Source organism: Homo sapiens, chromosome 4 (assembly GCF_000001405.40).
Source record: "Homo sapiens chromosome 4, GRCh38.p14 Primary Assembly".
In the NCBI taxonomy this organism is placed as follows: domain Eukaryota; kingdom Metazoa; phylum Chordata; class Mammalia; order Primates; family Hominidae; genus Homo; species Homo sapiens.
Window position 1 is genome coordinate 72104957 of NC_000004.12, and position 15648 is coordinate 72120604.

General features: G+C 36.8%; 1 protein-coding gene across 4 annotated transcripts in view, besides 3 other annotated features; it reads left to right on the plus strand.

Annotated features, from left to right (window-relative positions):
• Window positions 1-15648, plus strand: part of NPFFR2 (neuropeptide FF receptor 2) — a 116306-nt gene that overhangs the window by 72957 nt on the left and 27701 nt on the right. The gene's annotated exons all lie outside the window — the stretch shown is intronic.
• Window positions 7246-8445: an enhancer, noted in NCBI's record as "P300/CBP strongly-dependent group 1 enhancer chr4:72977919-72979118 (GRCh37/hg19 assembly coordinates)". NCBI's record gives its function as "activates an origin of replication core promoter dependent on BRD2, BRD4, P300/CBP, MED14 and CDK7 cofactors, with strong dependence on P300/CBP, by STARR-seq in HCT116 cells {active_cell/tissue: HCT116}" and the evidence as "EXISTENCE:reporter gene assay evidence [ECO:0000049][PMID:35650434]".
• Window positions 7596-7890: an enhancer, noted in NCBI's record as "tiled region #3382; HepG2 Activating DNase matched - State 9:DNaseU, and K562 Activating DNase unmatched - State 9:DNaseU". NCBI's record gives its function as "activates a minimal TATA promoter and a strong SV40 promoter by Sharpr-MPRA in HepG2 and K562 cells {active_cell/tissue: HepG2 | K562}" and the evidence as "EXISTENCE:reporter gene assay evidence [ECO:0000049][PMID:27701403]".
• Window positions 7624-7913: an enhancer, noted in NCBI's record as "active region_21607". NCBI's record gives its function as "activates an Ori minimal core promoter by ATAC-STARR-seq in GM12878 lymphoblastoid cells {active_cell/tissue: GM12878}" and the evidence as "EXISTENCE:reporter gene assay evidence [ECO:0000049][PMID:35858748]".

Below are 15648 nucleotides of genomic sequence, written 5' to 3' on the forward strand. Positions count from 1 at the left end.
TTGTAAACAACAGTATGACAAATTTTCTATCAAATTTTAAAAATGTAGGAAGTAACGACAATCTAAGTGGTATAATGCATATTTAATATTTTCTAGGGATGTATGTATGCTTGATATATTTACCAACTTTGATTTTTCAATGTAATATATACACTTTGAGAAGTAAATTTAGGTGTTCATAAATTAAGGAGAAAGTAGCCAATAAAAATGAAGTGTCAGTTTCATTTGAATAGGGATTTTTAAATGAATAATTTACAATATGTAGAGAGAGTTATAAAACATGAAAAATATTTCAAATAGTATAAAATATATGTGAATATTTATATGGTGCCAGAAAGAATATCTTAGAAGAAATACAAAGGAAATAACCTATTTTACTACAAAAATATGAACGTTTTAAAACCCAAAACAAATTAATGGCTTATTGCTAGCTGGAAATTTCTATGCACTCTGGAATAACTATGAAGCAAGACCAACATTCTAGGAGAAAATTATCAGTATTTGTTAAGAGCAGAAAAATGATCATTTTAAAAATATATTAATTCTCAATCTAAGAGTATTCTAGAGAGTACTAATAAATGTAAGGAAAGATAAAACATCAAAATATCACCTTAATACAAAAAGGAGTGGAAATTTTATAATTGACTAACACCAGGTTATAGGTTAAATTAATTGTGCTACATCTTATAACAGATCAAGAGTCACCATTGAAAAATCATTCTTGAAAAGAGCATATCTTGCTGTGAACTTTGAAGAGACTATTTATTTATATGAACAAATACAATATAACCTTAAATGACATCAAGGAAAAAAAAACTATTTTTCAGTACAATTCCAATTTCAAAACCTTAAATATAATGAATGTCACATGCTAGACTATTCCTAGATACTCTTGCGTTTGGGGTTTATCCTCCTAATAATTATGTAACAGGATGTTATAACACTATCGAACTACCCTGGTTTTAGTTTCAGCTAAAGCCCCAAGACTATTATTGAGACCACCATACAGAAATTGTAAAGAGGAGTCATTAACCCTTATTAGGAACACTTAGCCTGTGAAGATAAAAAGACCCAGGATTAGAGAGAACAGTTTGTTGATGTGTAATGAGTCCTACACACTTGTAAGATGGAGGGGTCAGTGTGCTTGCCCTTCAAATCATGCTTTAGGAAAGGGGATTAAAGGAGATGTGCAAAGAGTTTAATATACAAGCCGAATACTTTGGAGAACACAGTGGACTTGCGTCTGCCTTACAGACACACCTGAGACATCTAACATGGAAGGATCTGGTTGGCTGGTTTATGACAGCAGAGGGAAGGAGAGTTGGTGTCACTCGCCAACTGACACTCCTAGAGTCTTTCTGGACAAAAGATGCATTAGTGTTAATGGCGAAGCTAGGGATGAGCGACACATGTGAGTGAGAGTTAACTTTGGTACTCTATAGTGAGGTGAATTGTCAGATTTCTCACGGCCAAGGAAAGAGCCAGCAGCAGCCAGAGATGAATTGCCCCGCATGAAGAGAACGCTTGTTAAGAAATTCACAGCAATAAGTTGGTATCTCCAAAGAGCTATAATAACACTCAGAAAAGTAAGGGTCAGCTTAAAACTCTGTCCATTCCCAGGAACACCTCATGACAACCCGAAAAAGAGAAGTAGGACTTTCCCTGCCTCTTTCTGCCACTCTAAACTTGCTCACCCACAATCCTGGTGAGGATGGGAGCTGAGAATGACAAGCTGGAGATGAAGATACTGCAGAGTAAGTCAGGAAAGAGAAAAGAAGCCAACGGGGCATCCTTGTTGGAAATTTTACATTTTATTTATTATTAGGCTGAACAAATTCATTACTATACCATTTTTATTATTAGAAATCAATTAGAAAACTAGTACGATTTATTCCATCCAAATTTCACCCAAAGGAAAGGGAGAAATTTAGCTTCAAATATTAGACTTAAAAGGTTAGCAGCATACAAATATAGTTGCTTTCACATTGAATATCACGTCATGCTTGATCAATGCAGCTGCTATATAAAAATAAAGTTGTCCCCATTTCTTGTATTTTAGAGAATCCAATATCTACCTATCTCCCCCACCACAGTGTGCCCAGGATTTTCCTGGATATAGATGATTTTATTCCTGTTCCTGCCTCATCACTTATAGCTGTTTATTTCTCTCTGCCCAGCACTAATTCAAACATTACAATACAAGTCCTCTACCTTGATATTTAAAAAATATCTCTCACAAAGGGAGTTATATTTAATAGACTCCTGCTCACAACTTGGGGTTATAGGCAGGGTGGGGGAGTACTTTTTTGTGTATTATAAAAGTTAGCATAAAATTAAATATAAGGCACACTAGATTTTAGAAATTCCTTGGCCATATTCACCTCACTGAACTTCATTCTGGTTAGTTTTCAACCCTCAAGTTGCCCAATTCCCGGCTGTGTTGCTGACCTTCACAATCCTGGGAGATCATCCTATATGTTTCCCAACTTTTCCAGTATTAGTTATGGGGCCTGGGTCAGGTTACTTAGCATCTTCCTATCTTTCTTTCCTTTTCCCTTAAATTGGGATACTATGAGTAGCTACCTCACAGGATTACTGGGAAAATTAAATGGACTGACATGTATAAAGCAATTAGCTTAGTGCCTGGTACAGAGTTTATGTTTCATAAGGTACTCAGCTTGCATTTTGTTTCTTCTACTCATCATAAGTATGCCCTAGAGGGTAAGGTAGAATGGGAGTGGTTTCCTTCTTACATGAAAAGAACTCCTCAAAATGTTTTCCTAAGTGAAACAGTTCTCACTCCCAATACAATGAGTTACCTCCTTGAAAATAATATTATTTTCCTCTCCTGGACTTGTATGTCAAAAAATACAGTCAAAAGAATTGTATGAAATAGACTAAAATATTATTTATGTGTATTTCTGGATATAAAGTTGTGAAAGTTATTTTTATGCATATTGTATTTTATATATCAAATCTGAATTTCTTTTCTAAAAACAGAGATCTTACTTATTACCACCATGCCTTACTAACAATTTCATGAATATAGGCGATCAATGAACTTAATCAAAGAAGGTCTGGGACATTGAGAGTGGTGACTTAGGACCCTCCTTCCTACATTAGATGCTCACTTCTGGCCCAGAGCAAGTGATGAGGCCTCCAAGGAGGGTTTTGCAGTGTTATATACCACAGCAGAGTGAGGGTTCAGTCTATAAAATATCTCTATTTTATACAGTTTGTATGACAGTTTCCAGGGAGTCATGCCTCATAAATTCATATGTTCTGTATTTATTTATAAGCAATACTTAGGGATAGCCTATTAAAGAATTAAATAAAGAAGGCTTATCCTAGTAAATATCATTAGTCTACCTTGTGGTTCAATTATTATGTTCACAAGAACATTCATTTCAATCATCAGTCTTCTTTTCATTTCCCCTGGGTGCAATCTCCTGGTATTGGGGGAGAAATAGATTTCTGGCCAGTTGCTTTAACAGCATCTACCAATTCACTGTCTGAACTCAGTTAATATCTTCTTGCCACACATTTCTCTAGTTATTATTATTTGTTTTACTATATTTTAACAAAGAATTAAGGCATCTAATACCTTAAAAAACCCCAAAAGAATTGGAGGAAATAGACTAAAATATTATATATGTGTATTTCTGGATATAAGGTTATGAAAGTTTATTTTTATGCATATTATATTTTATAGATCTTGTTCAAATCAACAAGATTTTAACTACCTAATAGGGACTATGAATAAAATATATCCATAGTGAAAATATTTATTTAAAAGTCTTTTGATACATTTATTCCATTTAATTAGTGTTTATCTTCAATTGCACATTTTATATGATTTGATGGAGACACTTAATTGAACAATGCAATGTTTATAAGGTCAAATTCACTTTCTTCTCTGGACAATCCATTTTAACATGTTTTTAATCAATGGGAGGATTCAATCCAACCTCTCAAAGTGTTTCCTTTTCCTGGGAAGCATCATTTGCATAAGTCTAGTTTTCACTTACTTATATTAATAAATTACAAACCCTCTAATACACCTTGTAGCTATGATAGAGAGATTGATGTAGTGTTTGACACACCATACATTAGTAAAACTTACAGTATCAATCAGGGCAATGTGTCTCTTCTTTTCTTTAGATTACAGATTACTAAGAACCCAATATTCCTTTTTCAGAGAAAAGAAGTCCAAGGATTTTCTTTCAATATTGGCCATTAGTCAGCACCCAGATCTGAGAGAGATGTCCAACAGTGTTATTCTTGAGCTTATTTATTTTGCATAACTGAAACTTTATTCCAATTGAAGAACTCCCATTTTTCCCTCCTTTTAACTTTTGGTAACCACCATTCTATTTTCTGCTTCTAAGAGTTTCTCATACCTCATATGAGTGGAATCATGTAGTATTTGTCCTTCTGTTGCTGGTTTATTTCACTTAACGGTAATGTCTTGCACATTCATCCATGTCGTGAGAAATAGTAGGATTTCCACAGACATTTTTAAATGATTTTCTCTGTTGACTGACTGTGGGGTGCAGTTTCTTATCTCATTAGCCAGTGCATGGCCTGAGAACCCAGTGCCTGCTCACTTCAAGAAGCAGATAATAATTCTGGAAATCTGACTAAAGCATCTGCCTTATTCCAAATCTCTTCTGAGTCAACAACTAGTTATTTCTGGTAGTTATGTACATGACACACTTGAATTCTTCCCTAAATTCCATGAAATTTGTTGTTGTTGTTGTTGTTGTTTTTTAATGAATGCCCATTCCCTTGACAACAACAACAAGGCCATTGGCTATAAGTGAAAAGTCTTTGAACTGCTTTCATCTCTGTCCAATGTGCAGGTGTGCCCTTGTCTTCTTCCATTAAGCTTTCCCCATCTGCAGGGTGTATTGCCGTTGTTTTCCAAACAAGTGACATAATCCAGAAACTCTCATCAGTGAACCAGACAACTTACTTTGCTTCATGGGGAGCAATTCGCAAGACACAGAACATGCAGCAATTAACCTGGAAAAGTCTGCTGAGGGCTTTATTTGATCGGCTCTATAGTCAGTGAGGCAACCTGCTTGATATGGTTTGACTGTGTCCTCACCTAAATCTCATCTTGAGTTGTAGTTTCTATAGTCCCCACAAGTCATGGGAGGTGCCCAGTGGGAGATACTTGAATCATAGGGGTGGTTACCCCCATGCTGCTGCTCTCATGATAGAGAGTACTCATGAGATATGATGGTTTTATAAGGGGCTTTTCCCTTTTTGCTCAGCACTTCTCTTGCTGCTACCATGTGAAGAAAGACATGTTTGCTTCCCCTTTTGCGATGATTGTAAGTTTCCTGAGGCCTTCTCAGCCATTCTGAACTGTCAGTCAATTAAACCTCTTTCCTTTATAAATTACCCAGTCTCAAATATGTCTTTATTAGCAGTGTGAGAACAGACTAATACACTGCTCCTGTATGCAGTGATTCCCTTCTGTGTACTTGCCCACTTCCCAAAGTATGCTTTTTAACATCCCATTTCTAATTTCTGAGTGAACTTTGGCTGTGCTGTTTGATCCCTATATGAATGTTTCTGACATCATCCAAGACAAAGTTGGTTTCCCTAGCTTTGGAGTTATCTGATGCCCTTCTGTTAGGGCACAGTTTTGATGACCACCACTCAGTAAGAAGCAATCAATTGTCTTTTAAATGGTTTATTAGGAATAGCTATTTTGCCTAACATTTGTTCTCAAAAAATAAGAGGTCTTCACTGAACTCTTTCATTTCTGCAGATAGCTCTAGTCTGTGTATGTTCTGGTTTCGGGTGCATCTAATATTATCTGTGCAGTCAAATCATACAATCCTAATAGACCTTCCTGCATCACCACCCTCCAAAAATCCTTTAGCAATTTCTTCTGCTCAGAGCCTCTACTCAAATTCAGTTATCTTTCTGGTGACTTTGTGAACAGAGGTCAATAGCATTCTTAGATTGAAGAAAACAAAAACAAAAAACTGCAAAAGCCTAAGTAAGCTCTATTTATCTCTAGGTCTCTTACTCATTTGCAGATTCTGTAAGCGATAATTTTTTATGGTTTCAAAAAATGTCTCTAGTTGCTCCAGTCAATGTAATTCCAAGGGCTATGGATATTATCTGAGCTCATCAGCCTGGCTCTATTTGTCATGTGAGTCACCACAGTCCTTAACTCCTCTTTAATTCTTATGAGAGGAGAAGCTTTTATAATATAATCAATTTACTAACTTGCTTTGCATATTTGTTAAGTCCAGGTCCCACTTCATGAAATTATCAATTGTGCAGGCAAATTCAAACATACTTCTGGCAATATAGTAAATGTATACTGAGTCCTATTCTGTGAGAATGCATATTGTACCTGGCTGTTCCTGGAAATTGAGATGGAGAAGAAAGCACTAGGCAAGTTTCTAATGACATAGCCATCCTCCTTGGCTTGTTGTGCATCCTATACAGTGTTTACCACATCAGGTACAGTTGAAGCAATTAGGACAACTACTTGTTGAATGCTTGATAATCTACAGTTAACCTTCAGGGACTGGCCAGACAGCTCTGTTAATGGGGAAGCTAATGGGAACCAATAATCATACCTCAAGTATTCCCTTAATCAGGGCAATAATCTCTTGTACGTTCCTGGAATTCTGTATTGTTTACAATTTATTCTAGGACAACATAGGAAATTCCAAAAGTCACCGTTCAGCATGGCCAGTTAAAACTCCAGGAAGGGTGATTAGGCAATATACTTCCCCAACAAAAACGGAAAAAGGGAACATTCTCTATTAGCACATAATATCTATCCCAATTATGCATTCAGCTAAAGGCCATTAACCAGTGAAAAGTCTCCCCAGTCATATTCTTCACTCCTAAACTTATTCTGATGCTAGTCCCCCCAACATGGCATCTCCAAATCCTGCTAGTTTCAGCTTTGGGTCTTTCATAGCACTGCCTTGATTTATCATAAGTGCTACTGAACATTGAAAACCTCTATCTAGTCATTTTAGAGGCTTTGCCTACCAGTTCCTGGCTTTTTTACCAGGATTTGCTGGATTTTTACCAAATATTTGCAAAAGGCCTATGATTGCTTGTTTGGGGTAGGATAAGAATATCTCAGTCTCTCAGCCAACCTTTTTCAGACTCAATGACTTTATCTATGGAAACACATTCAGGCTGCTGTTTAAGTACTTTCCATTTTGAATCTTGATTCTCATCAGTTGATTTGATTTTTCTAGACTATAATAATTTGAGTGAACTTGCAGTGACACTTTAAGAAGTGGGAGGGAGGATCAGAGCAGCTCCCCACCTTCCAAATGTGGATACTGTTGTTCTAACTTCTTAGTAGAAACAGTAAGATTCTTTCTCTCTCTTTTTACACTGCTTTTTATAAACCATCTAAAGAGCTCCACTAAGTTGAGGGGATTCTTATTTCCTTTTTCTCTTCATGGTCCTTTCTTTTGTGTGCATAGATCTTTTTATCATCATGCAGCCCCCTCTGCATTACCTGAGCTGGCAGGTTCATCATCATCTCCTAAATATTCCCTTGGTTTCCCATTACATAAGGAGAACAGGAGACAGAAGCTCTCCAAAGTAGCACGTGTTTCATTATCTGTGCCAGAAACATTAAATTGATTGCGTCTTTCTGATCATCAAATAGACAGGTTGGTGTTGGTCATTCACACCATGCCTGAAGCATGAAAAGACATATGACACTTGTGAGTCATATGTCTCATATGTCTCACAATGAGTCATGTTGTGAGTCATATTGTGACATCTGTGAGTCATGTGTCTCATGTGTCTCACAATGAGTCACATTGTGAGATAGGAAATTACCTATCTCACAGGGGAGGGGATAGGGAATTTACCCCTCTCAGGAGAGGGTTGCTATGCTTCTACTTTTACCGGTTATATAGATTAATTATTATACCACATGAAAATACCTGCTTACAGAAGTTTTCAGACACTGGGGATTAGCCTTCAACTTACATAGCTCTAAAATTAGTGAAATTTCCTAGACAGGTGAAGAAGCCCTGCAAGTAATGATTTACCTGGCTTCTACTGGTATTTTTATGTAAAACATTTGAAAATTTACACAGAATATCCTTGGGATTTAGTAGTCACCTGATCTTAACCTCCAGTTATTTGTGTATTTTTTGAGTAATCAATGGCCTTGTTTATGCTACTTTGTGAAGAAGTGGGACATCATTCCAAGTAGTCATATAAGTACAAGTATGCCTTCCATGACAGGAAAGAAAAGGCTCACAGCAAAGAATAGTAGAATTTGGAAATTTTTTTTCTTAGGATTGGGTAATTATAAGCAATACATAGATTTTATTGTTCTTTGCTTGAAGGGAACTTATAGGTCTTACTTTATCAGCACCACTAGCACTAGCCAGGGGATAGAAATTGTTCTATCTTCCCCTCTTCCAGCCACCCTTCATCAATCCATTTAGCCATTTCCCTCATATCTAAGTGTACTTCCTCCACATTCCATTGCATCAAAGATTTGCTATCATCAATGTCCTATCATCAATGGGTAGGACTCAACTTGTAATTAGATCTTCACTATATTTTTTATATACTTTTTATTGCTAAAAATGACCCAGCCCATTAAGATTTATGAGATTAAAGCATAGTTCTGCTTGCACTGCCAATCTGTGCTAACACAAAGTCTCAGACTGGCAAAGAAACATGGTTCAAAAGCTTTACCAGTTCTGAAATGTACTAATAATTTCAAGAATACAGGCAACCAAGAGGCTCAGACAGCCCTGGGGGGTTGTCTGCGAGTAGACCAGTTCCCTGGCACTTTCCATGTTTGAGATGTAGTCTCAGGTTCGAATAGAAGATGAGGTCTCCTGGTGGAGTTTTGCTTGGTTGACTCACACAGCAGAGGAATATTTAGTCTATAAAATATTGCCACCTTATACCTCAGTTTAAGGGACATTTTCCAGGGAGCCAAGTATTATAAATCCTTAGGGTCTTAATTTATTAATGTTTTCTACAGGCAATCCTTTACCAGGGACATTCTGTTAAGAACTTTTCATAGATAAGGACTTTTCTAGAAATATGAATAGACTATTTGCCCAGAGCTTCAGTTATCATGTTGACAAGGAGATTATATTGGGTCACTTGCCCTCTTATTTTCTCCCAGGGTCAGAAATGAATAGCCAGTCAGCAGCTTTAACTCCTTCCTGTTCAAAAAAGTGTGCATAAATATAAAATTCATTGAATTTTTAAAAACTGAATATATGCTTGTAACCAGCACACAGATCAAGAAATATCCCTATTCCAGCTGCCCAGAAGCCTCCCCTCATGCTTGTTTCCTGTGACTACTTCCATCCAGGGGCAAGTAATCACCATGATATAATTTTATAATTAAAAATGTGTTATTTGAAATTGTTGATTGGTACCCCTATAAGAATTCATATCTAGATAATCACATATACACATGTGTAGATAGTAATCTCTTAAATTATAGAATGGGGTCTAACTTCTGTCTGTTATGTGAAAATATGAAGCTTTCTAAGCATGTGGCTTTCAAAAGTTTTCTTAGGATTTGGCAAATGTAAATAATGCATAGATCCTGTCGTTCTTTGTTTATATTAATTATTTGAGTACAACATGAATATATTTGTGCTGTAAAAAGATTCAAGCAATAAAAAGTAGTAAAATGTAAAAGCTTTTTCATCACCTTATAACACAATCTTCTCCTGACCCCAGAAGTCACCCCTACTAATAGATATTTTTCTATTAGAGTTTTGCTTTTGACATGAACAACATGTTATAGACCATTATGTGTCAGAATAATTAGACTCTTCCTATTGATTGTAATGGCTTTATTTTATTATAGCACAAAGGTTACCATAAAGTCTCTGAAGTCAGACTATCTGACTTTAAATCTTGACCTTGCTACTTCCCTGCTGATGACCTTGTGCCAGTTACTTGCTTTTTCCCCAGTTTCTTCACCTAAAAATGGGAACAGTGATAATCATAGTATTTTCCCAGAGGATTAAGTGAATTAATAGGGATAAAGTTTATAACAGACCCTGGCAGAGGTCAAGCATTGGATATATTTTGCCATTATTAAGATGTTATCATATTGCACATTTGATTATTAATATTGCTATAATTCACTTAAATTTTTGTCTGTTCATGGCCAATATGTTGTTTCTAAACTTTTCCTATAACAAAGTTACAATGAATATAATGCTTTCATGGCTTTTTACTCATGGATGTATTTATTTCAATAAATTATATTTGTAGAAATGAAAAGGTCAAGTGGAACATAATGCACATTTTGATTTGACTGGCATTCCCAAATTCACTTTCAATAAGTCTTATCATTGTATCCCTAACACTGTATGAAAATATTTGCTTCCCTGCATCTGTTGTCAGCCAACATCAGATATCATTAATCTTTTAAATTTTTGCCAGTGGGATGGATGTGAGGTTTGATTATTAGAAATATGTTCGCTGTGACTGGGAGGGCATGGGAATAACTGCGTCTAAACAAGGTCTTAGACCAAGTCTGAGCATGTGTGTCCTTGGTCTTATAGGCAGAGGTGTAGTGGGTACTATTGGGTTCAGCTGATCCAAAATCAGCTTCCAAGTTTACCTCAAATAACTCCCCTGGGTTGTCTCCTATTTCTGTATATTGTAATTCTGATCTTGGAGCCATCTCTAAAGCCTCCATTTTCATGAAAGTTCTTTCTTAGATGAGTTTTAACCTAGAATTTCCTGCAGTCTTGTTTCTCTTTATTCAACCTTAACAGCCTTTTGTGTTCTGGTCCTTTAAGAGCACTCTTCTTTTGTTTTCCAATGTATCTATAGATTGTTTATTAATAGTCTTCACTATTTTCTTTAGAACTTTTAATTTAGACTTCATAAAAGGTATTGTTGCATTAAAGTGGTTCTCACTTTCGAACAAGTCATTAAAATTGATCATTCTAGTTTGGGACAATATTAATATCTCTTGGATTGTATGGGCAATGAAACTGTAGTATTCTAATACACACATTAGAATTAAAATTAAAAATTAGTCATTTTTACACATTGATTTATACATTTATTAAAATAAGAATGAAAGGATGCCAGAGTAGGATATCCCTAGCAATATGTTTTTCCACTGCATATGTTTATTGTTTTGAAACTATTGCATAGATTGCAGCATGCAAATATCAAACTTTAATGTTTGTACTAAAGAAATTTTTTTCTGTAACAAGCTGTGTGAATATGCTTGTGTATATATTTTTATTTGTAGACATGTTTATTTCACTAGATTATATTTGAAATTTACTATACTATTAAGTAGAATTCCACTGTTAAGGTGATTATTTAACTATAATCTGCTTTCTTTCATAATTTTATCATAGTAAGAAAGCTAGTGAACTTAAATTTGACTACACATGGATATAAAGATGGGGACAATGGACACTGGGGACTACTAGATGGGAAGGGAAGGAAGGGGATAAAGGGTGAAAAACTACCTATTGTGTACTATGCTCACTACCTGGGTGATGGGATCATTCGTACCCCGAACCTCACCATCACACAATATACCCATGCAACAAATCTGCACACGTACCCCTGAACCTAAAATAAAAGTTGAAGTTAAAAAAGAAAAAAATAGTACTTTTGAAATAAAAAGCAAGAAGAAAAATACTTCACTGACACTATAAAATTAAGAGGGAAACCTATAAACAGTTCACTTGAGGTGTAAAAGTATAACAGTCATTTAATTAATGGGCTTATTTCTTTTATGGGCATTCGTTTGATTAAATCTTTTGTTCAGGCATATTTATAATTTTATATTATACTGTCACTCTGGTCTTCTACATTGCCTCATTTACTGTACTTCTTTTGTTTGTGTTGTATCTTCTTTTCAGTTTAGTTGTAGTTGTTAGGGTCCACCCAACTGGACAGTTTCCCCCTCCTATAGACCTAAGCCCCAAAGGCCAAAAGTAAAACCCCCTACCCCAAACCTGCCTGTATCTGTCTGACCAGAGGCCAGCTGTTCCAGGATGGGGTCAAGACGTCTACCTTACACAACAGAACTGGCAAGAAAAACATCTCCAGGAAGTGGTCAGACACCTGGCACAAAGGACCCCCCACCCTTTTCTTTTTCCTTCACCCTGACCCAGTTCTATGCCCTATAAAACCTTGCTATAGCCTGTAAGCCAGGCTCCCTCCTCTGCTTTTGTCAGGTTGTAGCCCGGCAGGACTGACAGTAAATCAGCTTGCATGAACTTGGGTCTACTGGCCTCATTCCTTTCTCGGCTGTCCTTCCAATTATCCCTTACAGTAGTCACTTAATTCCTTTTCTTTTTAACCTTCCTAATTATCCTCATTTTTACATTTAATTTCTGCTTTTGATGCTTTGGTTTAATCTGTTGGCATATGAATACATGTTTAATAATCAATTTTTAAAAATAAAGAGGTTTCATCTTTAGAGTTTGCCAGTTCTCATGGTGTAAATATATCAATCACAGTCAACTTCAAGCAGCAACCATAACATTACTGAATGTGCCTTTGGGCAGAGATGTGCACAATTGGCTCTCACTGTAAGCTCACTCCAGAACACCAGTATTTGTATTCCTCATTACCACGAAAGCTGCGACATGGTCTACTTCATTGTTCCCCAGTTCTTAGAACAGTACCTAGCATGTTGTCAACACAGTCAATATTTGTTAAATCAGTCAATGAATGAATGAACAGAAGATGTTCCCTCACTTCCAAGAAAGAGTACAGTGAACTGTTTCCCTGATGGAATGTCCATGTGATTCTGGCCCTTTACCACCTGCTTCAGGAATCCAATAATGAAAGAAAATGTAAACAATTTCGGTACCCAGTCCTTGAGATAACTTTCTGAAGGAATGATGTTAACATTAATGAATAAAAAAGGAACAAATAAAAAGTACACCACACATACTTTGCTTGTGTTCTGGTAGCACTAGCCCTAAACACAATATGAGTAAGGTAACAAAAAAGTAACCTGAGATATATTAAAAATGGTTTTAAAGCCAAAAGGGAGGAAGAAAGGAAAAAAGGAAGGAAGGGGGAAGGGCGAAAGTGAAAAACATATGGAGGAAGGAAAGGAAAATAATATCAAATGTTCACAGAGTGCTTATTCTGAATTATGTACCCTCTTATGTGCTTTATATAAATTATATTGTAAGGTTGAAAATATGTGCTCTGGAGAAGAGCTGCACGGAATAAAATCCCACTTCTGCTTTTTACTGATGGTGTGACATTTAGCGGATTAGTTAATTTGGTCATTGCTTCAGTTTCCTATTTGACTGTCCTACCATAAGACTATAATAAACCAATGCATATAAAAATGCTTAGCACTGAGTCTGACATATGGTAAGCATACAATAAATTTTAACTACAATTATCCAATGAAAACCTAACAACAACACTATGAAGTTTGTATAATTATTATTTTTACTTTTTTGATAAGGAGTCTGAATCACAAAGGGATTAAATAATTTACTCAAAGTCACGCAGGTATTAATCATGAATCTATCTTCCAGTAAATATCAATAGAAAACAAGATGTGGGATTTGAGTGCAGGCAATTAGACTCCAGAGCCTGTTTTTAAACTCTATGTTATTACAAGAAGACATGCACGTACCTTTAAAAGAAGAAAATTTGAGACAGCAAATGCTTAACAACCAAGAAATTACAAAAGAAAAAAACCTACAATCTATGAAACAAAAATTATATGATGAGATTAATTAATACATTTAACAAATACTTATTGAGCACCAATTATTGGTTCAACCATGCTTTTAGGTACTGAGAATTCAACTGTGAACTGGTCTCTACTTTCACAGAATATACTTTATAATACAGTATAAAATGGCATAACAAAATGGAAATGGGGTTGGTAAAGGCAGCAAAAATCTTCAACAGAAAAATAAATATTTTTATAAACCAATAATTTTTGAAAGATAGGATATAGCATATAAGCATATGGAAAATAGGTATCCATGATAGAGAATATAATAGTGGAACAGTTAATGACTTCTGACATGAAGGAAGTACTGAGATGAGAATTGAACAGGATTTGTTTTCCTTCAGAAAAAAAATAATCGGTAGAAAAAATATATGCTGGTATAGCTAAAAAAATTTGAGGATTAAAAAATCTCTTCTATACAATATATAAAAATGCATAGCACCTGTAAGAAAACAAATATATTGGGTTGGATTCAAATTTTTTTGTACCAAAATTTCCAATAGATAATGGAGCAAGTCTGCAAGGATATGGGCAAAAAATAGTGGGATCTAAATATGTTGTACATAGATTGTTATTCCTGTCAAAGGGATGAGGAGTTGGTCTCATATATGTACTAACACAGCAGATACAATAATTCGGAAACTTCTTGAGAAGCTTTGTAGTTATATATACACTGTAATTATTTATAATACTATTAAATGCAATATAACAATTTAATACATAGAGAAGCTGCCTTATTGAAATATTGAAATAAGCATTGAAAAATCTAAATGTAGCTGGCAAGATGGCCTAATAGAAACAGCTCTGGTCTGCAGCTCCCAGCGAGATCAACACAGAAGGCAGGTGATTTCTGGATTTCCAACTGAGGTACCCAGTTCATCTCATTGGGACTGGTTAGACAGTGGGTGCAGCCCACGGAGGGTGAGCTGAAGCAGGGTGGGGCATCACCCCACCAGGGAAGTGCAAGGGGTTTGGGAAATCCCTCTCCTAGCCAAGGGAAGCCCTGAGAGATTGTGCCTTAAGGAATGGTGCATTCTGGCCCAAATACTACACTTTTCCCATGGTCTTTGCAACCTGCAGACCAGGAGATTCCCTCAGGTGCCTATGCCACTAGGGCCCTGGGTTTCAAGCATAAAACTGGGGATCATTTGGGCAGACACCCAGCTAGCTGCAGTTTTTCTTTTTTTCATACCCCAGTGGCACCAGGAGCCCGAGTGAGACAGAACCCTTCAATCCCCTGGAGAGAGGGCTGAAATCAGGGAGCCAAGTGGTCTGGCTCAGTGGTCCCACCCCCACGGAGCCCAGCAAGCTAAGATCCACTGGCTTGAATTTCTCACTGTCAGCACAGCAGTCTGAAGTAGACCTGGGAGGCTCCAGCTTAGTGGGGGGAGGGACGTCCACCATTACTGAGGCTTGAGTAGGCAGTTTTCCTCTCCCAGTGTAAACAAAGCCTCCAGGAAGTTCAAACTGGGTGGCAAAGCCACAGTAGCCAGACTACCTCTCTAGATTCCTCCTCTCTGGGCAGGGCATCTCTGAAAGAAAGGCAGCAGCCCAAACAGGGGCTTATAGATAAAATCTCCCTGGGACAGAGCACCTGGGGGAAGAGCGGCTGTGGGTGCAACTTCAACAAACTTAAACATTCCTGCCTGCTGGCTCTGAAAAGAGCAGCAGATCTCCCAGCACAGTGCTCCAGCTCTGCTAAGGGCCAGACTGCCTCCTCAAGTGGGTCCCTGACCCCTGAGTCCCCTGACTGGGAGACACCTCCCAGCAAGGGTTGACAGACACCTCAAACAGGAGAGCTCTGGCTGGCATCTGGCAGGGGCCCCTCTGGGACAAAGCTTCCAGAGGAAGGAACAGGCAGTAATCTTTGCTGTTCTGCAGCCTCTGCTGGTGATACC